Source organism: Homo sapiens, chromosome 2 (genome assembly GCF_000001405.40).
Source record: "Homo sapiens chromosome 2, GRCh38.p14 Primary Assembly".
Classification (NCBI taxonomy): Eukaryota; Metazoa; Chordata; class Mammalia; order Primates; family Hominidae; genus Homo; species Homo sapiens.
The window spans coordinates 32,248,846-32,275,650 of NC_000002.12; the positions used below are offsets into that span (position 1 = coordinate 32,248,846).

Here is a 26,805-nt window from a genome sequence, read left to right on the forward strand (position 1 = left end):
TGGTCTCAAGATAAGCAATATTGATAGTTGTGAATATTAAACAATTCGCAACTCATCCAGCTCACAAATGCTAACAATCCCTGTTCCATCTGCCATAACTACAGCTTTGATTGGAGAAGAGAGTGATTTCAGTAACTTTCTCCTGATCAGAGGACCACCAACCACAGACTGGTTCTGGCTGGTTTACAGAGATTGCGTACCTGCTTACCTTTGTGCTCTGAAAAGAACTTCTGAAGTATAGGCCTAATTGTAATACATTTAAATCATTTAAAGGGGTGTACAATCTTTTGGTTTCCCTGGGCCACATTGGAAGAATTGTCTTGGGCTACACAAAAATGAATTTGTGCTGGGCCACATTCAAAGCCGTCTTGGGCTATGTGCAGCCCACGGACTGCAGGTTGGATAAGCTTGATTTAATGCTAAATCTCCACCCCAAAGTGAACATGGGTTGTATGTTACATGCATGTTTATTCAATATGCATGTATCAAGACCACCTTCATGAATATTCATAGCTCCTCCTGTAATCTGTTGAATATGTATGTTTAGCCAACCCATTCAACATAAAGTGTCTACCCCAACCCCTCCTTCGAGGTGCCTGTCTCTGGTCTTGGTTGGAGGCATGTTTCTCAGCCTGTGGGATGGCCACCTTGCAGGCTGTAACCCTTTAGAAGAAATAAAGTCTCCTCTCTCCTTTTCCAAATTTATACACTGTTATTTTTTTTTAAGTGAACAAAGCACAAACCACTGATATTTACAATACCCGGCAGCCGTTGATTCTGTAGGTCATGAATACTCAAGGTTTTCAGGTTTGTTACAGATGTGATGTGCCTCTCATCTTCTATGGTGAGGGGACTGGCTTCCACCATGAGAGAATAAATGTTCTTACAGGTGCTGAGGACCAAACTGAGGCTTCCAGCCACACCAGCACATCTCTTTATTTGCAGCCTGAGGCTTGTGGCAGAGCTGAATATTTTCCCCAGATATCTGATATCTTGCTTATTCAACTTGCTGAAATCCCGGAGTGTGACCTCCAGAGTCCTGAATTCCTGCTTCCAGTTGAAGAACAAAGATACAGCCCTGCTGGGAATGTAGGTTTCTGGGGCCTCTTCCATGTGGATTCCACCTGTGTCTTCTGCAGCCTTTTCCCATGAAGCCATAGCTCCCCCATAAAAGTCCAGTTTAATGAAGTCCAGGGCACTTGCACAATTGGGCAAATGTTCAAAGAAGTCAAATAAGTAATCGGGGATGTTCCCTGAGTTGATATATAAGCTTTTACCTTGAAAGAAAGCTTCAAATTCTTGGCTCAGGGCTGATTTGGATGTACTCTCTTGATATAAATGGATGCCACACTCTACAAAGGAATTGATGTTTATGGCTTTCAGAATTTCTTGCTCAGTGGTGTTTTTCACACTTTGCAAAGATTCCTGTCTCCAGAGAGGCCTCTTGGCGATGGAAAGTCCGAGAAGGCAGCCGTGTTGATACACTGCTGCGAGGTGCTTCATAACAGCCCTGGTGGCTTCCACAGATGACCCACAGGTGTACCGGAGCAGGCTGCTATAAGTGGATGTAATGTCCGAAATGGAAACCATTTTCTGCAAGTAACCATTCCCCTTGGTCACCTCCTCTGGCTCATGAGACGTCAATAAACTGCTGAGTCTTCGTCCTGCTGTGTACTCCTGGAATGACTTGTGAAAGAATTTATACTTTGGCTTGAACCTTTGAGCTGTATATTTACAGAGGAGCCCAGTTGTCAGCAGGACATCCTCATTCACGCTGGACACATCCTGCAGTTCGAAATCAAACTTGTGGGAGAACACACCCTCCAGAGCTAGGTCTCCACAGTGGTCCAGGCTCCGAATGAAGTCACTTGCAGCCACACCTTTATGTTTGTGTTTGTTTTTCTGTATCAACAGATCATAGAAGGTATGGAACAGCGTTGTTTGTGTGTGAGAGTGGAACTCACTTTCACCCATCTGGATTGCACAAGTGATGACCACAAAGAGAGGGGTCTTCATGAGATTCCTCAAGCACCTGGATTTCTGAATTTGGAGCAACAAGCCTTCAGCAAGCTCCTTGATCAGCACTTCTCGGATGAGAGCCTGGGCGCTGTCTTCTGTCATATCCCCCACCTCAGCAGTCAGGGCACCAAACTGCCGTATGTGCCTCAGGCACTCAGTGGTAGTGGTGACGATGACCATGTTCTTGAAGCGGTGGTTTTCCTTTATCAGGGCTTCGATTTCTGGGCAGTTCTGGGGCTTGAATTCATTGTAGCCATCAAGAAGGAAAAGAACCCTCTGCCGCAGCTTCAGCAGCATGGCCATGAATGTCTGCTTCCTGATTGTGCCAGGTATATCCAGGAGTTGATCACAGAGGGTTTCAAAAAGTCCACCCTGGGCCCTGCTGAGACGGAGGAAGAAGACGAATTTGAACTTGGTCAGAGCCTTGCACTTTCCGGAGCCCCAGAGCATGGCAATTCGCTGCAGCAGAGTGGACTTGCCTTTGCCAGATTCCCCTTCAATGATGCAGGGGCTCTGAAGAGCCTGCAGGAGGCCATTCAGGGTCAGCTGCTCCACGCGGTGATGGTGTTGGTCCTTCCTCCACAGGACAGGTTCTGTGAAGGTGCTTTTCAAGTTAAAAATAATGTCAATATCTTCACCAAGGGGATAAAAGTTCAGAAAAGATGGGGTATGGTACAAGTCCTTTAAATCCTGAGCCAAATCGTCCAAGTCTCCTTCTGATGTCTGATGAAAAAGACCTATTAGAGAAGAGGTGATGTTAAAGAAGACCCAATTCTGTGTCTCCTCAAAACCTAGAGTTCAGGAGGATGAACGGGGGGGTGAGGCTGAGAATCTGCCATTGGTGAATGTAATGTCCTTTCCCAGTTCTGAGCTGGCACAAAGGGTTCTGTCTGCTCCCCCTTTCCCCAGCATCCTTTACCCCACTCCCCTTTTTGCTTTCTGTTTCCTCCTTTCCACAACCAAATCTTATAGCAGCTGGTTGGAAAAGGGAGGAGCTTGTTTTTGGGTTAAGGAAAGTAAAGAATTTGGCAGAGAAAGATGGTTAGGGATAATTGTCATCATAGTAGGCCTTCACTCTGAGTAAAATCTGTCATGACCTTATTTACTAATTAAAAAAATAAAAACAATATTTTATGAAACATAGAATCATGGTTCTGTGTCAGTCAGGCTGTCTTTACCAGGAGGCCTGGACATGGAGTAGGTAGTCAGCTGGGCCTCTCTCCCATAGGTAGATCTCATCCAACCAGGGAATGCTGAGAACCACTGCTGCACTGGAAGCTTAACTAGTGCACTTATTCTCCAGTTTTATCTTGCAGTGAGACAATACTCAATCATTTATTTCCTGGCCTTGGGGTTATTTGTTTGGCTTCACCATCAATTGATCTACTATGAGTTTTTCCTAAAATCATCTAAGCTTTTCCTTAGCAGGTATCAAAGGCCACTGCCAGGTGATATGAAGAGAAGGAAAAGCAGAGGCTCTGCCATGGGGAAGATGGATCTTTGTTGTGGTCTATTCTACTTGCAGAAACAGATGCAAAACTAACTGATACTTACTTTGTCCATTCAAGTCCTGAAATAGAGGATAGTTCCACTCCTTAAGGGATTTAAGAAAGAGGTTACAGGACTCTGAACCCTTTTTCAAAATCATGTGAATGATCCCTCTAGCAGCATCCTGCTCCACCTTCTCGCAGCAAATGATGTTTACTTCTTCGCGATTCAGAACATTCCATACAAATAGGTCATCTGTGATTTGCTTTATAACAGTCATTCCCATTCTTTGAATAAGGGCTCGGCTATTGTCCTTTATGAAATTCACTGAGGAGATGGGGAGAAATATACATATTTATTTACTTATATAAAATGTGCATATCCGGCTGGGCACGGTGGCTCACGCCTGTAATCCCAGCACTTTGGGAGGCCGAGGCGGGCAGATCACGAGGTCAGGAGATCGAGACCATCCTGGCTAACACAGTGAAACCCTGTCTCTACTAAAAATACAAAAAATTAGCCGGGCGTGGTGGCGGGCGCCTGTAGTCCCAGCTACTTGGGAGGCTGAGGCAGGAGAATGGCGTGAACCCAGGAGGCGGAGCTTGCAGTGAGCTGAGATAGCGCCACTGCACTCCGGCCTGGGCGAAAGAGCGAGACTCCGTCTAAAAAAAAAAAATTAAATATGCATATCAGCATCTGTCTCCAGAGCATTAGGGCCATGCATTTTTTTCCTGTGAGCATCTCCTGAGTTATGGAGATGCCAAATGCCTGAATTCCAGGCCTTCAAGAAATGCTCTGCCAAGCATTTTTTTTCTGAGACGGAGTCTTGCTGTGTCACCCAGGCTGGAGTGCAGTGACGCGATCTCGGCTCACTGCAAGCTCTGCCTCCTGGGTTCAAGCAATTCTCCTGCCTCCGCCTCCTGAGTAGCTGGGATTACAGGCACGCACCACCACACTCAGCTAATTTTTCTATTATTTGTAGAGACGGGGTTTCACCATTTTGGTCAGACTGGTCTCGAACTCCTGACCTTGTGATCCACCTGCCTTGGCTTCCCAAAGTGCTGGGATTACAGGCGTGAGCCACCGTGCCCGGCCTCTGCAAAGCATTTCTAACCCCAGAGTTATTGATGAGCAAGATGTTTTGCTTTGGTGAAGAAGTAAGGTGAGTTATCTTGTCCCTCTGATATAAAGCAGTCCCCAGTGAGGTTGTAGTTGTAAGACCGTTGGCTTTAGAATAATGGCAATGGCCTAGGATCTGCCACTTGCTACCATCTATGTGACCTTGGCAAGTCACTAAGCCTCTTTGAGTCTATTTCAATTACGTGCTGCTGGCCGGGTGCGGTGGCTCACACCTGTAACCCCAGCACTTTGGGAGGCCAAGGCGGGCGGATCACCAGAGGTCGGGAGTTCGAGACCAGCCTGACCAACATGGAGAAACCTTGTCTCTACTAAAAATGCAAAATTAGCCAGGTGTGGTGGTGCATGCCTGTAGTGGCAGCTACTCAGGAGGCTGAGGCAGGAGAATCGCTTGAACCTGGGAGGTGGAGGTTGCGGTGAGCCGAGATGGTGCCATTGCACTCCAGCCTGGGCAACAAGAGCAAAACTCTGTCTCAAAAAAAAAAAAAAAAAAAAGTACGTGCTGCTAAATGTTTCACAAACTGGCCCTGGCCCTCTGGGAGTAAAGGCCCTAATTTGTAGCATTCACCAATCCCCAAGGTATAAATATTCCTACCATGGCCTATTTCAAGCTAACAGCGTATGTTAACTGGCTAACAAAAATCCTGAAAATTCAATAATCAGGTTTCACATCACAGTAACAACCAGCTCCAGCACACTGGGGATTCCTCATCTGTACAATGGTGTCAAGAGCATTATTTAACTTAGGAAGTTGTTACAATAATTCATGTATAGTATCTCATACAAAGTAATAACTCAATATATGTTAGCTACTATTTTTAGCCTTTATTCAGGTGTCACCAGACAAAGAGCACATTGTATCTCCACAGACTTTGGTCTTTTCTGAAGAGTATCACATCAAAACACTGGTTTTTATCCAATGTAAGCTCTCTCGCCAGGTCTTGAGGGTAGCTGTGTCCTTTTTGTGTCTGACTCTGCAAGGTCTAATTCTGAAACGTAGACCACACCGTACCCAGGCACTGTACCCACGCTATGTTTGTGACAGCTTGGAGAAATGTCTTCCTGGTTTTTAACTCTCAGACACCGTCTGCACTAGATTTCTTCCTGGGCTAGGCTGCTCCTGGTTTTTTTTTTTTTTTTTTTTTTCAGACGAAGTTTCACTGTTGCTGCCCAGGCTGGAGTGCAATGGCGCGATCTCAGCTCACCACAACCTCTGCCTGCCAGGTTCAAGCAATTCCCCTGCCTCGGCCTCCCAAGCAGCTGGGATTACAGGCATGCGCCACCACACCCAGCTAATTTTGTATTTTTAGTAGAGATGAGATTTCTCTATGTTGGTCAGGCTGGTCTCGAACTCCCGACCTCAGGTGATCTGCCCGTCTCAGCTTCCCAAAGTGCTAGGATTACAGGCATGAGCCACCGCACCTGGCCGCTCCTGGCTTTCAAACCTGTGTTGACTGATCAGAGAGGGAATGCACTCCTCTCAAAGACCCCAGAACCTCTCTGGCCTGAAATGCACCATCAATCACTCCAAGCACCAGGACCCCACCCCAGCCGTCCTTTCTCACCATTGCAGAGCTCTGCTGCTGACCTCAGCTAGAATATTCCCTGTCTACATGTCCTGCAAGAGTCCCATCTCTCTCCTTCTGGGGTCTCATCTGTTCTCTAGCTTCCACATCATCCCTATGGAAGTAACCTCTAAGTCTGTGTCCCATTGTGATCTTCAGTTTAGAGCTAAAGAAATACAGCCTCACCCGGGCGCAGTGGCTCACACCTGTAATCCCAGCACTTTGGAAGGCTGAGGTGGGCGGATTATCTGAGGTCGGGAGTTCGAGACTAGCCTGACCAACATGGAGAAACCCTGTCTCTACTAAAAATACAAAATTAGCCAGTCGTGGTGGCACATGCCTGTAATCCCAGCTACTCGGGAGGCTGAGGCAGGCGAATCACTTGAACCTGGGAAGCAGAGGTTGCGGTGAGCCCAGATGGCGCCATTGCACTCCAGCCTGGGCAACAAGAGCAAAACTCCGTCTCAAAAAAAAAAAAAAAAAATAAGAAATACAGCCTCAGAAAGGCTTAGAGACCCACACACACACAAGTTCACAGCCTAGCCTTCCTGAGACTACCTTTCTTCACCTATAAAATGAAGACACGTTATTTAAAATACTCTAATTATTTAAAAGACTCATTATATTGAATAAGTCACATAACTCTCATACCCAAAAATGTCTTAAAATTGGAAAAGTGGCTAGGCGTGGTGGCTCACACCTGTAATCCCAGCATTTTGGGAGGCCGAGGCGGGTGGATCACGAGGTCAGGAGATCGAGATCATCCTGGCTAATATGGTGAAACCTCGTCTCTACTAAAAATACAAAAAATTAGCTGGGCATGGTGGCACGCGCCTGTGGTCCCAGCTACTCAGGAGGCTGAGGCAGAAGCATCGCTTGAACCCAGGAGGTGGAGGTTGCAGTGAGCCAAGATCACACCACTGCACTCCAGCCTGGGCTACAGAGCGAGACTCCATCTCACACAAAAAAAAAAATTTACAAAAAAAAATATATATATAAACAGTAAGATATTATTTTACTATGTTATATCTCCTTGTATGTAGACCATCATACTCCTTCCTTATCAAGTAATTAGGTGGAAAAAATGCTGCTCATTTATTCATTAATTATTCATTCTTTTCAGAATATCTCTTTGTCTAGACCAATGCTTTTCAATAGAACTTTCTGTGATAATGAACATGTTCTATATCTGCATTATACAATATGGTAGTCATTAGCCACATGTGACTACTGAGTGCTTGAAATCTGGCTACAGTGACTGTGCAACTGAAGTTTACATTTTATTTTATTTAAATTCACCTTTAAATAGCTACAGAGGGCTAGTGGCTACTATTAATATACTAGATAGTGCAGGTCTACACCCAGCCATTTAAAGTGGAAGGAGCTACATTTTGGTTGCCACTTAGATCTATACCATGTTTCTTCACAATGAGCTTGACATGTATAGCTCTCTGCTGTCTGGCTGAACAGGTGATGAGAACTAACAGTTTAAAACATACACCTGGTCACTCTTTGTGTAAGTCCTATCCTATCTGTGGTTCTGCCTTTTATCACAGGTTACCATATTTGTAACTGAATTCCTAAAACAACAGAAGAATATTTATTGGTAATTCCACATATGACTGGTCAGAGGAAGCCATGAACTGATTTTCCATTTAAAATCACCAGTATTTGGTAGCAGACTGTATAACCAGGCAGATGTTATTTCTCATATACTTACTTGTTCTGGATGAAAGCTTCCCACCTTTCTATAACACAATAGAAAATATTATTTCCAAATGGAAAGGTCAAAGGTGATCCCAATATTGTCCTCTTTTTTCTGTAAAACTACTCTTCATTCTGTAAAACAAACAAAACAGAACCAGAGACTATCAGGTGGAGGGGCTGATGCAATTATCTAGGTAATGCCCCGCTTTTCATAGATGAGAAAATGGTGACCCAAACCAGAAAAAAACTCGCTCAAAGCCCCTGGCTATTCATGGCCAGGCCCTAAAGAGAACCCAGGCGGCTGGACTCCTTGCCTAGAGCTCTAAACTATGTTCAGCTGGAACTTTGCCCTTCTCTTCAAAGTTTCTTCTCATTTCTGCTGTTCAGAGCCAAGAAGGCAACATGGAATTAAATGTCAAAAGACGGTATAAGTGTCAACATGAATGGTGCAGAGGGTACGTTCTCTCCAGTATTTCCAGGAAAGAGTATATGGACTGGAATCATCCAGGGAGGAAGTTTTCATGGAGGAGACAGCACATGAACCAGGTCTTAAAGGATAAGTAGGGCTGGGCGCGGTGGCTCACGCCTGTAATCCCAACACTTTGGGAGGCCGAGGCAGGCGGATCACGTGAGGTAAGGAGTTCGAGACCAGCCTGACCAACATGGTGAATCCTGTCTCTATTAAAAATACAAAAATTAGCGGGGCGTGGTGGCACACGCCTGTAGTCCCAGCTGTTCCGGAGGCTGAGGCAGGAGAGTCACTTGAGCCCGGGAGACGGAGGTTGCAGTGAGCCGAGATCGTGCCACTGCATCCCAGCCTGGCAGACAGAGCGAGACTCTGCCTCAAAAAGAAAAAAAAAAAAAAAAAAGGATAAGTAAGATGAGGCCAGGTAGTTGGGCTGGGGTGGAGGTGGAGATGAGGATGTAAAACGCCTTGCAGGTGAGAGGATGAGATCAGGGAGTATGGAAAGGGGAAAAGTTCTCTTGTCCCCTTCGCAGGGCTTGCGATGGGGGTGTGGCTCACTTCTTCAGTGCCCGCTGCTCAGACCTCTAGGGGATCATACAGATGGGCGGGCTGTGGGGTTCCAATCCCACGGCAGTGTCTAGTGGTGAATGTTTACAGCTCCTGAAGCCCCAGTGGGTGTGTGTTACAGGGTGCTCTTTTAGTTCAGCTGTCCGTAGGCGTCTTGTATTAGCTCAATGGGACCCCTGCCTTATTGCAAGGACAGAGGGCTTTCTGTATTCCGGGGTTCTTGCCTTGGTGTACCGGAGGAATTGGATCACACGTGGTCTTGGAGAATGAGCGCAAGGTTTCATTGAGTGGAAGAAGCTCTCAGCAGATGGGGTAGCCAGAAGGGAGATGGTTTTTCCCCGGAGTAAGACCGCCACCAACTCTTCTCCAACCCTCCAGGCCAAACTCCGAGTCGTTCCTCTGGTGGATGGCCTGCTGGCGTGCCGATGTCTGTTGTGTGCTCTTCCGCCAGCATTCTCCCTTCAACGTCCTCTGGACGTCCAGCTGCTTGTATGTTCTTCCGCCGATGTGTTCCTCTCGACGTCCAGCCGCTTGTGTGTCTGCCTGCAAGGGTCTCTGGGATTTTTATAAGCATAGGATGACGGTGTGGCAGGCCAGGGTGGCCTTGGGAAATGCAACATTTGGGCGCCAAGGCAGGAGTGCCTGTCCTCACCTAGGTCCGTGGGCACAGGCCTGGGGGTGGAGCCCTTGCCAGGGACGCGCCCTTCTCTTCCCAGCACTTCCCTTCCCCCCTTCCCTATCAATATGAGTAATTGAGGAGACAGAAAAAAGGAGTTATGCTTCCAGGGTACAAAGGGGAAAAGCTATGGAAAGCCTTGTACGCCAAGATGAGGCATTTGTTCTTTATCCTATGAGCAACTGGGAGAGATTATGGTATAAGGAGTATGTTTAAAGTGATGTTTTAAGATAAGAAACGGATTTCAATTTCCTGGTATGGTCCTGTCATTTCATCCTCCTAGTTGCTTTAAAAGCAACTTCCTTTCTCCCTTCCTCCTCCACACACTCTGAAAAGCAGGGGCCCAGAAGCCTCTGAGACTGCTCTGTGTGCATTCCCAAACCAAGTTAGATGATCTACCCCGGCTCCTCATACACACATACACGACCCCCTGCATCAGGATGAAGATGCAAAGTCTGAATTAAAGACAGCATGAGAGGGCAGACAGGAAGTGGGGAAGAGAACTAGAATCACTGGGTGGAGAGAAACAAAATGGGAGCTATGTGAGTGTGATTGTGGTATGTGAATGGAGTTGGCTTGGGAACTCATGTGGATGGGGTTGGCATGGGAACTCATGTTATCCTAACATTAAAACTCTTTTTTTGAGACAGGGTCTCACTCTGTCACCCAGGTTGGAGTGCAGTGGCCCCATCATGGCTCACGGCATCCTTAACCTTCTGGGCTCAGGTGATCTTCCCACCTCAGCCTCCTGAGTAACTGGGACCGCAGGTGTGTGCCACCATGCCTGGCTAATTTTTTTTTTTTTTTTTTTTTTTTTTTTAGAGACAGAGTTTTGCCGTGTTGCCCAGGCTGGTCTCAAACTCCTGGGCTAAAGTGATCTGTCTGCCTCAGTCTCCCAAAATGCTGAGATCACAAGAATGAGCCACCGCGTCTGGCCATTACCCTAACATTTTATTATGAACATTTTCAAACATAGAGAAAATCCATCCCTCTATTCATTTATCAATCTATTTTACTTATTTTCTTGCATATTCAATGTAAGTTGCAGACGTTAGTACACTTCTATGTTCATATAATTAACTAGAATTCAATATTGGTTTATTATTCTTTCTTAGGAAAAATTCACCTACAGTGAAAGCAGAGATCTTAACTGTACCCTTTGATGAGCTGAAAAATGCTTCTACCTCAAACACCTATCAAGACAGAAAACATTACCCTCTCCTTAGTATCCTATGCCCCTTCCCAGTCAAATTCCATCTCTGCCACACCCTCAAAGAAAATCACTCTTCTGATTTTTTTAAACCGTAAATTAGCCTGTTGAAGAACTTCACATAAACGGAATCATACAGTATGTGCTACTCCTTTCATTCCACACAATGTCTGTGTAAGTCACTCATGCTGTTGCTTGCAGTATAAGTAGTTTGTAACATTTCATTGCTTAGTAGTATTGTACTGTATAAAATACTAGAGTGTATTGGCCGGGCACGGTGGCTCACGCCTGTAATCCCAGCATATTGGGAGGCCGAGGTGGGCGGATCACCTGAGGTCAGGAGTTCAAGACCAGCCTGGCCAACATGGCGAAACCCTGTCTCTACTAAAAATACAAAAATTACCCGGGCATGGTGGCTCATGCCTGTAATTCCAGCTACTTGGGAGGCTGAGGCAGGAGAATCACTTGAACCCAGGAAGCGGAGGTTGCAGTGAGCCAAGATCGTGCCACCACACTCCAGCCTGGGCAACGACAAAAAAAAAAAAAAAAAAAACAACGAAAAAAAAAAAACTAGAGTTTATTTATCTATTCTCCTGTTGATGGATTGGGTTGTTTTCAGATTGGGGCTATCATAAATACAGAACAATGAATACTTTTGTACAAGGGGGTCCTTCCCCACAAAAACTTCTCTAAGAATAGCTTACTTTGACTCTGATCTTTCTAATTTCACAAGCTCTTTGAATAAGGATCTCCTCAGCTTAAACTAGATGCTCACAGCCATGGCAAGTTTGCTGTGAATGTTGCTGTTGTGAGAGTGATAAGTGAGGATAAGAAAGTCCTAGATAAAGTTTCCTTTCATTCAAAAAGCCCCCAAATCATATCTTTTCTAATAAAAAGCAGCCTGAAAAATCAAGCTGCAAGTATAGATAAGCTAAAAGCTTGCATTGGTAAATGCCAGTAGCTGTGCCCATAGAAAAAAGCCACCTGGGGGCCAGGCATATTCAACATGGCGGATCCATCTTCCCTTTTCTTTTTCAACCATGTGTACAGTAGGAACAGACAACATAGTGCCGGCCAGATAGAGACCCCATCTGCATAATAAAACATAAGGGTGGAATGGCCGGCTTCTTCGTGCGCTATGCAAACGTTATACCGGTTCTGACCAATCTCTCAGTCCCTATGTATATCAGACACCACCTTCTCAAGTTCATCTATAAAACCCCATGCATTGGCTGGGTGCAGTGGCTCACGCCTGTAATCCCAGCACTTTGGGAGGCTGAGGCAGGCGGATCACAAAGTCAGGAGATCGAGACCATCCTGGCTAACAAGGTGAAACCCTGTCTCTACTAAAAAATTCAAAAATTTAGCCAGGCGTGGTGGTGGGCGCCTGTAGTCCCAGCTAATCGGGAGGCTGAGGCAGGAGAATGGCGTGAACCCGGGGGGCGGAGCTTGCAGTGAGCCGAGATCGCAGCACTGCACTCCAGCCTGGGCGACAGAGCGAGACTCCATCTGAAAACAACAACAACAACAACACCATGTATTTCACCACAAAACCACTCACTCAGGTTCCCCTCTCTCTCTGCAGGAGAGAGAGCTATTCTCTTTTCTCTTTCTTTCGCCTATTAAGCCTCCCCCCTTTTGTTTTTTTTTGAGATGGAGCCTCGCTCTGTAGCCAGGCTGGAGTGCAGTGGTGCGACCTCAGCTCACTGCAACCTCTGCCATCTGGGTTCAAGCGATTCTCCTGCCTCAGCCTCCCGAGTAGCTGGGATTACAGGTGCATGCCTCCTCACCCAGCTAATTTTTGTATTTTTAGTAGAGATGGGGTTTCACCATGTTGGCCAGGATGGTCTCAACCTCCTGATCTTGTGATCTGCCTGCCTCGGCCTCCCAAAGTGCTGGGATTACAGGCGTGAGCCACCATGCCCGGCCTAAAACTCCACTCTCAAACTCACTTCTTGTGTGTCTGTGTCCTCGATTCCTTTGGCGTGAGACAACGAACATCAGGTATTTACCCCAATGATGCTGCTTCAAAAGCATATCTATTTTCAGAAAATAAAGTTTCCCTTTTATGTTAAAACTGATTCATTAACAATATAAAAAATTGTCATTGAAATTGGAGCAGCCAGGCGCGGTGGCTCACGCCTGTAATCCTAGCACTTTGGGAGGCTGAGGCAGGTGGATCACGAGGTCAAGAGATCGAGACCATCCTGGCCAACATGGTGAAACCCCGTCTCTACTAAAAATACAAGAATTAGCCAGGCGTGGTGGCAGGCGCCTGTACTCCCAGCTACTCGGGAGGCTGAGGCAGGAGAATCACTTGAACCAGGGAGGCGGAGGTTGCAGTGAGCCGAGATTGCGCCACTGCACTCCAGCCTGGTGACAGAGCGAGACTCTGGGTCAAAAAAAAGAAAAAAAGAAAGAAAGAAAAGAAAAGAAATTGGGGCAGCTCAGGAGCTTAAGCAAGGGCACATTTTGGTGTCAGGATTGCGTTCAAACTACAGCTCTACCACTGACACACTAAGAGTCCTCAATCAAGGGGTAATGACTGGCACACAGGAAGGACTCAGTGAATGGCGGCAACTGTAGATTCTTCTCTCCCTTTCTACTTCCCCAAAAAGGGGTGGGTTTGGGAAGAATCACACCATCCCTGACTGGGTCAAAGTTTAAGTCAGAGTAGAAAAAGAGGAAGAAGATAGAGGAAGGAGCTAAGATGTATAAAGTTTTTAATTGCTCTCAAGAACAAAATCAATCCATATACTGAAGATCATGTAATTTTTCTCAGTTACCCACTGGCATAAAGAATAGGGCTGTGGACCAGGCGTGGTGGTTCACGCTTGTAATCCCAGTGCTTGGGGAGACTGAGGAGGGTGGATCACCTGAAGTCAGGAGTTTGAGACCAGCCTGGCCAACATGGTGAAACCCCATCTCTGCTAAAAGTACAAGAAATTAGCCAGGCGTGGAGGTGCACACCTGTAATCCCAGCTACTTGGGAAGCTGGGACAGGAGAGTTTCTTGAACCCAGGAGGTGGAGGTTTCAGTGAGCCAAGATAGCACCATTGCACTCCAGCCTGGGTGACAGAGAGAGACTCTGTCTCAGACAAAAAAAAAAAAGAATAGGACTGAGACCAGTGTACTCTCTTGGAATGTAGCTATGGCCCTGCAACCCCTCCCCGCAAGCTGTCCAGTGAATAACTGAATTGGGTGGAAGAAGTCCTTCCCCCACATTTGTACATTGGAAAATAATATAATAATATATATTATATATATATAGGCAATCTGCCTGCCTCGGCCTCCCAAAGTGCTGGGATTACAGGCATAAGCCACCATGCCCAGCTGGAAAATAATATTTAGTACTAATTCTAAAATTGGCATTTTCTTAAAAAAGGTTACATGAGCTCCTCAGAGAACTGAAGTTTCTCTGGACCCATATAACCCACGTCTATGGGGTCATTCCCACACCTCACAGATAAAATAAGGGAAAGAGTACATATAATTAGGAGCAGACAGGAAGCACACAGAAATGGAAAATGTGTGTGGGCTTTGGCATTGCAGATCTGAATTCAAATCCTCACTCTGCACCTTATGAGGTAAGTATCCCTAGACATGTTACTTAGCCTTTCCGAATCTTGCTTTCCAAATCATGCATAATATTCACCTCCCTGGACTATTGTGAAGATTAAACATGAAAGTAGTTGTGACAAAGATGGTCAGTGGGTATTATCTGTCTTCCTTTCTAGTAAAAAGGCTCTAGACTAGAATGTTCTTAGGTCTTTAATAGGCTTCAGCAATCTCACATGTTAATATTAGTGTTATGTGCTGAACTGGGCTTCCCCCAAATCCATATGTTGAAGCCCTGAACCTCAGAATGTGACTGTATTTGCAGACAGAGCCTTTAAAGAGGTCATTAAGCTCAAATGAGGCTGTTATGAGAAGAGGAAATCGGGACACACAAAGGGAGATACCAGGAATGTGCATACAGAGAGAAAAGGCCAAGGAGGGAGGCGTGGGGAGAAGCCAACCCTGCTGACACCTTGGTCTTGGACTTGCAGCCTCCAGAACTGTGGGAATATAAATTTCTGTTGTTTAAGCCACCCAGTCTATGGTATTTTAAACACATTAATACGACTAATATTATAAAAGTGTGTGAACAGTTAAGAAGTGTGCTGACCAGGTTCTATCCTAGTTTTGTAGACAATTAGCAGTGTGATGTAGGGCAGGACATTTAACTCCTCTCTACCACATTTTCCACCTCTCAAAGCCAGGCTGCAAGGATCTACTGAGATAATGTACATAAAGACCCTATCACGAAATAGGTGTCCCGTAAAGGGTGATTTCCTTCACTTCTGTCTCCAAATATCAGGTTTCTCATCAGTAACTTGGGAGATTGGATGGACTAAGTAGTCCACCTCGTTCCTTTCAGCTTTGATCATCTGTGATTCTAACAACAGTCTTAGCAACAAGAGTGAGTTTCCTGGCCGGGCACGTTGGCTCACACCTGTAATCCCAGCACTTTGGGAGGCTGAGGTGGGCAGATCACGAGGTCAGGAGTTGAGACCAGTCTGGCCAACATGGTGAAACCCTGTCTCTACTAAAAATACAAAAATTAGCTGGGGCGCGGTGCCGGGTGCCTGTAATCCCAGCTACTTGGGAGGCTGAGGCAGGAGAATTGCTTGAACCCAGGAGGCAGAGGTTGCAGTGAGCCGAGATCACGCCACTGCAGTCCAGCCTGGGTGACAGAGCAAGACTCTGTCTCAAAAAAAAAAAAAAAAAAAGAGTGAGTTTCCTTTCTGTAATGCCAAAAAGTGTTTCCAAAGTCCTTTCCATCTCACAGTAGTCCAAGGGGTACATGTACCCCTTGAACCTGATGAAGCCCCAGCAGACCCGATTAACCACCCCTAAAGGTTTCTCGGCAGGCAAATCCAGCCAGGCATGCAAATCACACTCGTCAATGTTAAGGCTTTTGTACATCCCAGACACAAGCTTTAAATGAATGTAAACCCAGATTTTAATATTTGGGCCCCAGACCTTAAAAATCCCATTCTCTCTACCCACAGTACCTGGCTGAGCAATCCAATTGCCCTCTTCTTGGGAGACCAAGACATGTTTTTAAAATAAAGTTTCTTTGTATTTGCTTTCCGTTTCAGTGAGGCCTCGAGTTCTTGTAGACCAGATACCTTCTTGTTCTGTGAGAGGACAGTGTACAGAGAGGGGAACTGCTGAGCAGTTCCTTTTTTTTTTTTCAAAGCACAGTAAGAGTGGTTTGGACACAAGTACTACCAGTTCAGAAAGGGAAGATGGGTGTAGGCAGGAGTAGCCGGGGAAGAAGTAGAACTTCAGAGTAAAAGATGCAAGAGCTAGAAATTCCGTCAAGAAAGGAATTACTCATTTGTTTCCTGTTTGTTCACAACATATGAATTCATTGCTGTTGAGTTACTTATTCTATACCTTAAAATGAAACAAAGTCTTCTGAACATCCAACATATATTTTTTTTCTTTTTCTTTCTTTTTTCTTTTTTTTGAGACAGAGTCTTGTTCTGTCACCCAAGCTGGAGGGCAGTGGCACAATCTCAGCTCACTGCAACCTCTGCCTCCCGGGTTCAAGCGTTCCTCCCGCCTCAGTCCTCCCAGTAGCTAAGACTACAGGCGTGCACCACCATGCCCGGCTAATTTTTGTATTTTTAGTAGAGACAGAATTTCACCATGTTGGCCAGGCTGGTCTCGAACTCCTGACCTCAGGCAATCTGCCAGCCTCAGCCTCCCAAAGTGCTGGGATTACAGGCGTGAGCCACCATGCCCAGCCACAACATGTATTTTTAATGCTTAACCATGGGAGATAGAGCGGTAAATGAAATGAGCCAGCTTAGTTGGCTAAAGCACATTGCTACTGCATTCAAGGTCATGCTTACCCCTGTACCTTGAATCCCAGAGGACTTCCAGCAGATGTGTTCTCTCAGTCAGCAGGGTTCTGGGCAAGGTCACACAGGGCAAACAGATCACCAGTTTTGGTCCACTCCACCGATGACGCACGGGGACACCCTCCGGAGTATAAACAGCCAGGGGCTTGCACAGGCACACTCACATTGGACGTTTGTGTTCACAGACTCCAGGAGGCCAGCTTATACTCAGCTGAGGACTGAAGAAATCTCTCTGCACTTCCCTTGAGGATGACATTCTTGCATACTCTTTCCTCTGTCTTTGCATAAACTACCAGGAACATGTCTTTGTGTTACATAACTTCTTATTTCAAAAAGAGCATTCTGACAGTAGCCTATCTGCCATAGAGGGATACCAAAGTTTCCCGGCAAATAAATGTCTACATCCTGGGTTTTCTAAGGGGGCATCAGTGTCAGTGTTTCCCAACTTGTGAGGTGGGTTTCTCTGAAGTGAGATTGAGGGCTACACTATCAGCTAGATTTTTAAATTGTAATGAAACCTATATATAAACATATGTTCAAGAGAAAAAACTGCAAAGACAGCCACCAAAATAGTAATGATGCTTATTGCTGGGGAATACAATTATAAGCAATTTTAAATTTCTGTCTTTGGCTTATCTGTATATTCTAATTTTATTTATCAACTTATTTATTTTTTATTTTATTTGTTTATTTATTTATTTATTTATTTATTTGAGACAGAGTCTCGTTCTGTTGCCCAGGCTGGAGTGGAGTGCAGTGGCTCAATCTTGGCTCACTGCAACCTCTGCCTCCCAGGCTCAAGCAATTCTTGTGCCTCAGCCTCTCAAGTAGCTGGGATTTCAGGTGTGGGCCACCACCATGGCTAATTTTTTGTATTTTTAGTAGAGACAGGGTTTTGCTATGTTGGCCAAGCTGGTCTTGAGCTCTTGGTCTCCAGTGATCCACCTGTGTTGTCCTCCTAAAGTAATGGGATTACAGGCGGGAGCCACCATGCCCAACCTGTATATTCTAATTCTTCATAGCAAACACCTATTACTTTTGTACTAATAAATGATGTAATATAGAATAAAAAGGGAAAATGTAGAAATATGGTTGTAGTAGGCTGAATAGTGGCTACCCAAATATCCCAAATCCTAATCCCTGGGAACTGTAAATATTGTGTCTTTCCAGATATGTTCCATTTAAGGCTCTGAAGATGGGGAGAGAATTCTGGATGATCCAGGTGGGCCCTTAATAATGGTCCCTTATTACAGAGAGCCAGAGGGAGATTTGAAACTGACAGGAGAAGTCAGTAAGACCATGAATGCAGAGATTCGAGTAATACGGCTACGAGCCAAAAGATGCCAGCAGCCACCTGCAGCTGGAAGAGGCATAAATGGATTCTCCCCTAAAGCTCCCAGGAGTGTGGCCCTGCTGACACCCTGATTTCAGCCCCATGATACTGATGTTGGACTGGTCCTCAGAACTGTGAAAGAATAAATTTCTGTTGTTTTAAACCACCCAGTTTATGATATTTTGTTACAGCAACCACAGTAGACTAATACAGTAGTATTTCATAGTAAAATAAGCAAAATTATATCCATATTCATTCAAGTACATCTTCTGGGCTGCCTCACCAGTTTCCTTTGTGAGTGGATTTGCAGTCAGGTGTTTTCAGGGCATTTCAAATAGGTAATTAACTAGTAACTTCGGCATCCTACGTTCCAACAGTTACGTCCCCTGCCCTTATGTTCTTCCTCCCAGTCTCTCCCAACGCTTATTATCCTAGGAGTGTGGTAAAGTGGAAATGCCCAGAGCTCTGGAGCCAAGTAGACCTGAGTTCAAGTCTGGGTTCCTTCCTGTGACTAATACAAGTCACCTTAGCTTCTTAGCAGTGCAATGATGGTTCCCCAAGTTGCCCCAGGGTTGTTGTGAATATCAGCTGAGATGCCATCTGTGAAGTACCACATGGCACTAACTATTCTGTGACTTTAAGCATATGTAGCTACTCATGCTTTTAACTCCCAGTTTAATGCGGAGGGAAGGAAAAAGTCACGATACTTTTCTTCCTAGAGGCCTGTAACTCATAACTCCAAAAATAATTATTCTGGAATTCTGTTAGTCTTCTGCTTACATATTTAGTGGCAGGGAAGTCACTGGGCCAAATCAGGCAGGCAGCTTCCTAATATGCCTTAATAAAGAGGGGTCAATTTTTTTTTTTTTTTTTTTTTGAGACGGATTCTCACTTTGTCACCCAGGCTGGAGAGCAGTGGCTGCAATCTCAGCTCACTGCAACCTCCACCTCCTGGGTTCAAGCGATTCTCCTGCCTCAGTCTCCCAAGTAGCTGGGATTACAGGTGCGCACCACTATGCACGGGCTTTTTTTTTTTTTTTTTTTGACACAGTTTCACTCTTGTCGCCCAGGCTGGAGTGCAATGGCGTGATCTTGGCTCACTGCAGCCGCTGCCTCCCGGGTTCACGCCATTCTCCTGCTTCAGCCTCCCGAGCAGCTGTGCTTACAGATGTTTGACACCACGCCCGGCTAATTTTTGTATTTTTGTCGAGATGGGATATCACCATGTTGGCCAGGCTGGTCTCGAACTCTTGACCTCAGGTGATCTGCCCACCTCAGCCTCCCAAAGTGCTGGGATTACAGGTGTAAGCCACAGTGCCTGGCCAGGAGGGTTAAATCTTCTTGACTACCTCCTTTAGGAAATAGAAGTACATTGTGCCTATTATCCTCTGCCATATCTATATTTATATTATGTATATTATTATAATTTATATATAACAAGTATATATTATACATGATATTACATATACATATATAAATATATCATTTATAAATATAAGTTACATATATTTACATATATTATATAAATACATTTATATACAATATTATATAAATACATATATTTATATGTAAGTATATAAATACAAATATTTATAAGTATACAAATATATATAATTCCCCATCCTCACCCCTTAAAATTGGACTAATAATTCAGATACTCTATGTAAAAGAGGCTTTGGTAGAATAAACTAAATGCTGGAGGACAGATTGACTCTCAAGGAGTCTGAAATCCTGTTCTAAAATTAACATTTGAAACAACTAGAGATATTTGGCAAGAAGCAGAAAGAATTTCAAATAGGTTTGATAACTGTGTTATTTGCGGAGGCATGGCATAGGGAAGAGGGAACATGTTTCAGATGCCTATGACAAATGAAAATCATGTACAAGGAGTCAGTTAATGATAAAGTTACTTCTTTAGGGGAATTAGTCATGCTTTTTTTTTTTGAGACAGAGTCTAACTCTGTCACCCAGGCTGGAGTGCAGTGGCATGATCTCAGTTCACTGCAATCTCCATCTCCCAGGTTCAAGCGATTCTCCTGCCTCAGCCTCCCGAGTAGCTGGGATTACAGGCATGTGCCACCATGCCTGACTAATTTTTGTAATTTTTAGTAGAGACAGGTTTTTGCCTTGTTGGCCAGGCTGGTCTCAAACTCCTCGTGTAAAGCAATCTGCCCGCTTCAGCCTCCCAAAGTGCTGGGATTACAGGCATGAGCCACCACGCTCAGTCTCGTCATACTTTTTGCACTCCTTGCATTTGTATTCCAGTATTTGGGCAGTTTCCCAGATTATGATACTAACATCCCCAAGGTAGCAGTCATTTACCAGGTTGCTAAGATATGGCTACCTCCTCCTCTTGTTCCAAGTCGGCAGTCTACATCTCAGCCTTCGGATGCATGTTCTTCACCCCTGCCTGACACACTGGCTCTCTCTCTCTCTGCTACTCCCAGCTCTAGTGGAGGACTGAAAATTCCAGACTTCCTCAGTGCTACAGAGAGAAGCCTCCAGAAGCTAGGCAGGAGGGTGTACCCCCACCATCCACTGATGCTCTAGATTTGTGGGTCGCTGGACTCAGGGCTACTGAGAGTAGTCCTGATAGGAAAAAATGAGCAGGGCTTGCTAGACAGTATCTAAAATCATTCATCCTGGCTGGGTGTGGTGGCTCACGCCTGTAATCCCAGCACTTTGGGAGGCTGAGGTGGGCGGATCACCTGAGGCCAGGAGTTTGAGACCAGCCTGGGCAACGTGGTGAAACCCTATCTCTACTGAAAAATACAAAACAATTAGCCAGGCATGGTGGTGCATGCCTGTAATCCCAGCTACTCAGGAGGCTGAGGTATGAGAATCACTTGAACCCGGGAGGTAGATGTTGCAGTGAGCTGAGATCGTGACACTGCACTCCAGCCTGGGTGACAGAGTGAGATTCTGTTTCAAACAAAACAAAGCAAAATTATTCATCTGGCTGGGAGTGGTGGCTCATGTCTGTAATCCCAGCACTTTGGAAGGCCAAGGACGGTGGGTCATCTGAGGCCAGGAGTTCAAGACCAGCCTAGCCAACATGGCAAAACCCATCTCTACTAAAAAAAAAAAAAAATCGAAAAATTAGCCAGGCATGGGGGTGCATGTCTGGAAACCCAGCTACTCAGGAGGCTGAGGCATGAAAATAGCTTGAACCCAGGAGGCAGAGGTTGCAGAGGCTGTAGTGAGCCAAGATCACGCCACTGCACTCCAGCCTGGGCAACTGAGCGAGACTCCGTCTCAAAAGAATAAAATAAAATAAAATAAAATAAAATAATAATTCATTCACCACACTTTTAAGAGGGTGGTCCTGGATTAGCCTATTTATGTTTGAAAAGTGAACATACTGTTTTCTAGCGTTAAAAAATCTAATTGTGCAAAAGTATACAGTGAATGAGATAATTACCTTTACAGCTCAGTGAAGAAAATGTAGCAAGCATTGGATGTACTTGTACACCCGGGGGTCCTCAAGCTCCGGGTGCTAACTGGTACAGGTCCATGGCCTGCTAGGAACTTGGCCGCAAAGTAGAGGTGAGCAGCTGTGAGCAAGCATGACCCCCTGAGCTCCATCTCCTGTCAGATCAGTGACAGCATTAGATTCTCAGAGGAGTGTGAATTTTACTGTGAACTGTGCATGCAAGGGATCTAGGTTGCATGCTCCTTATGAAACTCTTAACGCCTGATGAACTGAGATGGAACAGTTTAATCCCAAAACCATTCCCCCTCCCTCACTCCCTATCCATGGAAAAATTGTCTTCCATGAAACCCTGGTGCCAAAAAGGCTGGGGATTGCTGTTCTACACCATTAGAAACTAATTAAACTGCTTTTACCTTTTTTGAATACTTTTTTTGTGTGAGATAGAGTCTCACTGTGTTACCCACGCTGGAGTGCAGTGGCGTGATCTTCGCTCACTGCAGCCTTGACCTCCTGGGCTCAAGTGATTTTTCCACCTCAGCATCCCAAGTAGCTGAGACTACAGGCACTTACTGCCACACCTAGCAAATTTTTTTTTTCTAATTTTTGTATAGACAGGGTTTTGCCATGTTGCCCAGGCTGGTCTCAAACTCCTGGACACAAGCAATCCTACTACCCTGGCCTCCCAAAGTGCTAGTATTACAGGCGTGAGCCACCATGCCTGGCCTAGAATGCTTTTTATTTACAAAGGTAATACATGTTAAATTCAAAAACTTTGAAAATACAGAAAAGACACACAAAAAAAAAAACCCCACAATCCTGCCACACCAAATAATCACTAATGAGTCCAAAGAGGTATCTCATTGTGGTTATGACTTACATTTCCCTTGTGACTAATGATGCTGTGCACCTTTGATGTGCTTATTGGCCAAATGAGTATCTTCTTTGTGAAGCATCTGTTCAAATCTTTTGCTCACGTTTTCATGACACTGAGTTATAAGGATTCTTGAAGTATTCTGGAGACAAATCATTTATCAGATTTCTGGATTGTGACTATTTTCTTCTAGTTTGTGATGTGCCTTTTCATTGACTTAACAATGTCTTTCAAAGAGCAGAACTTTAAATTTTTGATGAAATTCTATTCACACACACACACATATATATATATATATATATATAGAGAGAGAGAGAGAGAGAGAGAGAGAGAGAGAGAGAGAGACAGAGTCTGGCTTTGTTGCCCAGGCTCACTGCAACCTCTGCCTCCTTCAAGTGATTCTCCTGGCTCAGCCTCTCAAGTAGCTGGGACTACAGGTGCCCGTCACCACACCAGTTAATTTTTTGTATTTTTAGTAGAGATGGGGGTTCCACCATGTTGGCCAGGCTGGTCTCGAACTCCTGACCTCAAGTGATTCACTCACCTCGGCCTCCCAAAGTGCTGGGATTATAGACGTGAGCCACCATGCACGGCCTCACCATTTTTTTAAGTGATTTGTGCCTTTTGTGTCCTATTTAAGACCTTTGTTATCCCAATGCGGCAAAGATGCCATCTGCAATCTTAATTCCCCTTTGCCATGTAACAAACATACATATTCATAGTGCTATGGTCTGCATGTTTATGTCCCCACAAAATTCATATGTTGAAATCCTCACCCCCAAAATATTACGACGTAAGGCCTTTGGGGGGTGACTAGGTCATGGGCGAGAAGTCTTTATAAATGGGATTAGTGGACTTATAAAAGAGGCCCAACATGTACACCATAAATATATACACCAACTGTGTACCCATAAAAATTAAAAATTAGGCTACTCAAGAGGCTGAGGCAGGAGGATTGCTTGAGCCAAGGAGTTTGAGGTTATAGCGAGCTATGATTGTGCCACTGCACTCCAGTCTGACCAACAGAGCGAGGCACCCTGACTGGAAAAAAAAAACAGAAAAAAAAAAGGCCTGAGAGAGCCCCTCATCCCTTCCACCACGTGAGGATATAGTGACAAGGTAGCCAACTATGAACCAGGAAATGAGCCACCAAATTTGCCAGCAGCTTGGTCTTAGACGTCCCAGCCTCCATAACTGTGAGAAATAAATTTGTTGCTTACAAGCCATCCAGTCTATGGTATTTTGTTATAGCAGCCCAAACAGACTGAGACACATGGATTCTGGATTTTAGGATGCAGACATCTCTGGGGGGCCATTATTCTGCTTATCACATACACCCTTTATTAGAATGAGGAACTTGTGTTCCTAATTTGCTGAGCGTTTTTGTCATGACACATATTGTTTACTATGTGCCAACCACTCTAAGTGTTTTAAATATGTCATTTAACTCGCATCTATGAGATAATTATTACCCCTACTTTACAGAGGAGTAACTTAGGCTTAAAGAAATTAACTTGCCTAGAGTAATATAGCAAAGTGGAAAAATAAGATTTGAACAGAAATATGTTAAAACCAAAGCTCAAACTTTTGGTAACTGTTGTTAAAATATACTGCAGATTGGATGTTATTCACTTTCTACATAAGGTCATTCATTTGTTTTTTAACAGCTTTGTCGAGATATAATTCATATACCTTACAACTCATCCATTTAAAGTGTACAATTCAGTGGCTTATAGTATATTCACAGTGTTGTGCATCCATCACCATGATCAATTTTAGAACACTGCCTCAGCAAAATGGCCCACTCCTATAATCCCAACATTTTGGGAGGCTGAAGTTGGGGGATTGCTTTAGCCCAGGAGTTCAAGACCAGCCTGGGCAATGTGGCAAAACCCCATCTCTATAAAAAATACAAAAAAATTAGCCGGTCATAATGGCACATGCCTGTAAGTCCCAGCCACTTGGGAGCCTGAGGTGGGAGGATCATTTCAGCCTGTGGAGGCTGAGGCTGAAGTGAGCTGTGATTGTGCCACTGCACTCCAGCCTGGATGACAGAGTGAGACCCTGTCTCAAAAAAAAAATTTTTTTTAGAACATTTTTTGTTAGCCCCCAAAGAAAACCTGTCCTCCTTAGCTGTCGCCTTGATCTACTGTCTATCTTTATGGACCTGCCTATTCTGGACATTTCATATAAATGGAATAATAATATGTGGTCCTTTTTGATTGGCTTCTATCACTTAGCATAATGTTTTCAGGGTTCATCCAAATTTTAGTATGTATCGGTACTTCGTTCATTTTTATTGCCAAATAATATTCCATTGTATGGATATACCAATTTATTCACTTATCAACTGATAAACCTTTGGGTGGTTTCCACTTTTTGTCTATTATGAATATTGCTGCTATGAACATTAGTGTGCTTGTGTCCACACGAATTTTTGTGTGGCCATATGTTTTCATTTCTCTAGGAGTGCAATTGCTAGATCATATGGTACATCTATGTTTAAGCATTTGAGGAACTGCCGGACAGTGTTCTAAAACAGCAGCTACATTTTGTATCACAAAGAGCAGTGTATAAAGGTTCCAATTTCTTCACATCCTTGTCAACACTTGTTATTTCTGTCTTTTTAAAATTACAGCCATCTTAATGGGTGACATGCATCTCATTGTGGTTTTGCGTTCATTTATTCTTGTGTTTCTTCACTCCTCTAAAAAATAAGTGAGGTCGGGCGCAGTGGCTCACGCCTGTAATCCCAGCACTTTGGGAGGCTGAGGCAGGTGGATCACGAGGTCAGGAGTTCAAGACCAGCCTGATCAATATGTGAAACCCCATCTCTACTAAAAATACAGAAATTAGCCGGGTGTGGTGGTGCGTGCCTGTAGTCCCAGCTACTCGGCAGGCTGAAGCAGGAGAATCGCTTGAACCTGGGAGGCGGAGGTTGCAGTGAGCCAAGACTTTGGCACTGCACTCCAGCCTGGGCGACAGAGCAAGACTCTGTCTCAAAAATAAATAAATAAATAAATAATAAGTGAGCAGATAAATAGCATAATGGCATATTTGTGATAAGTGCTAGGAAATAAATAACTAGGGTACTATAATAGAGATTAATATGCTGGTCAAGGAAGCTAGGATGGTGACATTTAAGCTGAGGTCTCATGGATGAATGGAACCAGCCCTGAAAGCGCAAAGGAACAATGTTCTAGTCAGAGAAGAGCAAGCACAGAAGCCTTGAGGCGAGAAAGAGCTTAGCTAATTCTAAGAACTGTAAAAAGGCCAAGATGATTGATTACAAGCAGAAGAGTGGCATGAGATGAGGCTAGGGAGGCTGGCAGGAGAAAGGAGTTTAGATTTCACTCTAAAAGCAGTGGAAAACCACTGACAGTTTCTACACTGAGAGAGGAATAATGATGCTTGTGTTTTAAAGAATCACTTTAGCTGCTGCACTGTAAAACCAGTTAAGAAGTGATAGCTGTTTAGGTGAGATAATAGTAATTTCAATGAGAATAGTAGCCATAAAGATGAAGAGAAGTGCTCTCAAGTTCTATTTCAGAGACAGAACAAGCAAGATCGAAGGGGATTTAAGAGGTGAGTGAAAGGGAGGAGCCTGCAATGTAATTCAAATTTCTGGCTTTAACGACTAGGTGAAGGAGGATACTATTTACCAAGATACAGAACCAACAAATTAAGAATGAATTGGCTGCCAGCGCGGTGGCTCACGCCTGTAATCCCAGCACTGTGGGAGGCCGAGGTGGGTGGATCATGAGGTCAGGAGTTCAAGGCCAGCCTGGCCAAGATAGTGAAACTCTGTCTGTCCTAAAAATACAAAAAATTAGCCGAGCTCAGTGGCAGGCGCTTGTAATCCCAGCTAGTCGGGAGGCTGAGGCATGAGAATCACTTGAACTCAGTTGCAGTGAGCCGAGATCGCGCCACCGCACTCCAGCCTGGGCAACAGAGTGAGACTGTCTCAAAAAAAATAAAAGAATGAATTGGCCAATGGTATGGCCTACAAGTCCTTATGTATTGACTCAACAATATGCTTAAATAAATCCTGGAAGCTTTCAATTCGGTTTTTCTGAGTTATTGCCCTTTCATCTAAGTGTGCACAACATCAGGTTCCTGGCTGTAAATACAATGTTAATCAAATGGGGTTTATTTACCTTCAAACTACAGTTTGTTACATTATATTCTTCTTTCACTAGTATTAATTCAAAATTAAAGACATCTCCTTTCATTCACGTCGTGTCTCTTCCACCCACTCAGGATTCTGTCCATTTTTCTAGTACTTAGAAATATCATCATTTAGTTAAAACAAATAACATGAAATTTAAAACAATAAAATATGTGTCACCTGAAGGGGTGGGTTGCCCCTCCACACCTGTGGGTGTTTCTCGTTAGGTGGAACGAGAGACTTGGAAAAG

General features: G+C 44.5%; 1 protein-coding gene across 5 annotated transcripts in view; it reads right to left on the reverse strand.

Annotated features, from left to right (window-relative positions):
* NLRC4 (NLR family CARD domain containing 4) overlaps positions 1-16,898 on the reverse strand; it is a 41,295-nt gene extending 24,397 nt beyond the window's left edge. The window contains exons 1-4 of one of the 5 annotated variants that reach the window (NM_021209.4): positions 16,742-16,898; positions 7,930-8,048; positions 3,574-3,834; positions 762-2,756 (exon numbers count right to left, since the gene is read on the reverse strand). In NM_021209.4, coding sequence (NP_067032.3) covers positions 762-2,756; positions 3,574-3,834; position 7,930 — 2,257 coding nt within the window. In that variant the 5' untranslated portion in view covers positions 7,931-8,048; positions 16,742-16,898. Of the gene's footprint in view, positions 1-756; positions 2,757-3,573; positions 3,835-7,929; positions 8,049-15,892; positions 16,042-16,741 lie in introns of those variants that run through there. The other 4 variants (NM_001199139.1, NM_001199138.2, XM_047445356.1 and 1 more) reach the window with 4 other exon arrangements.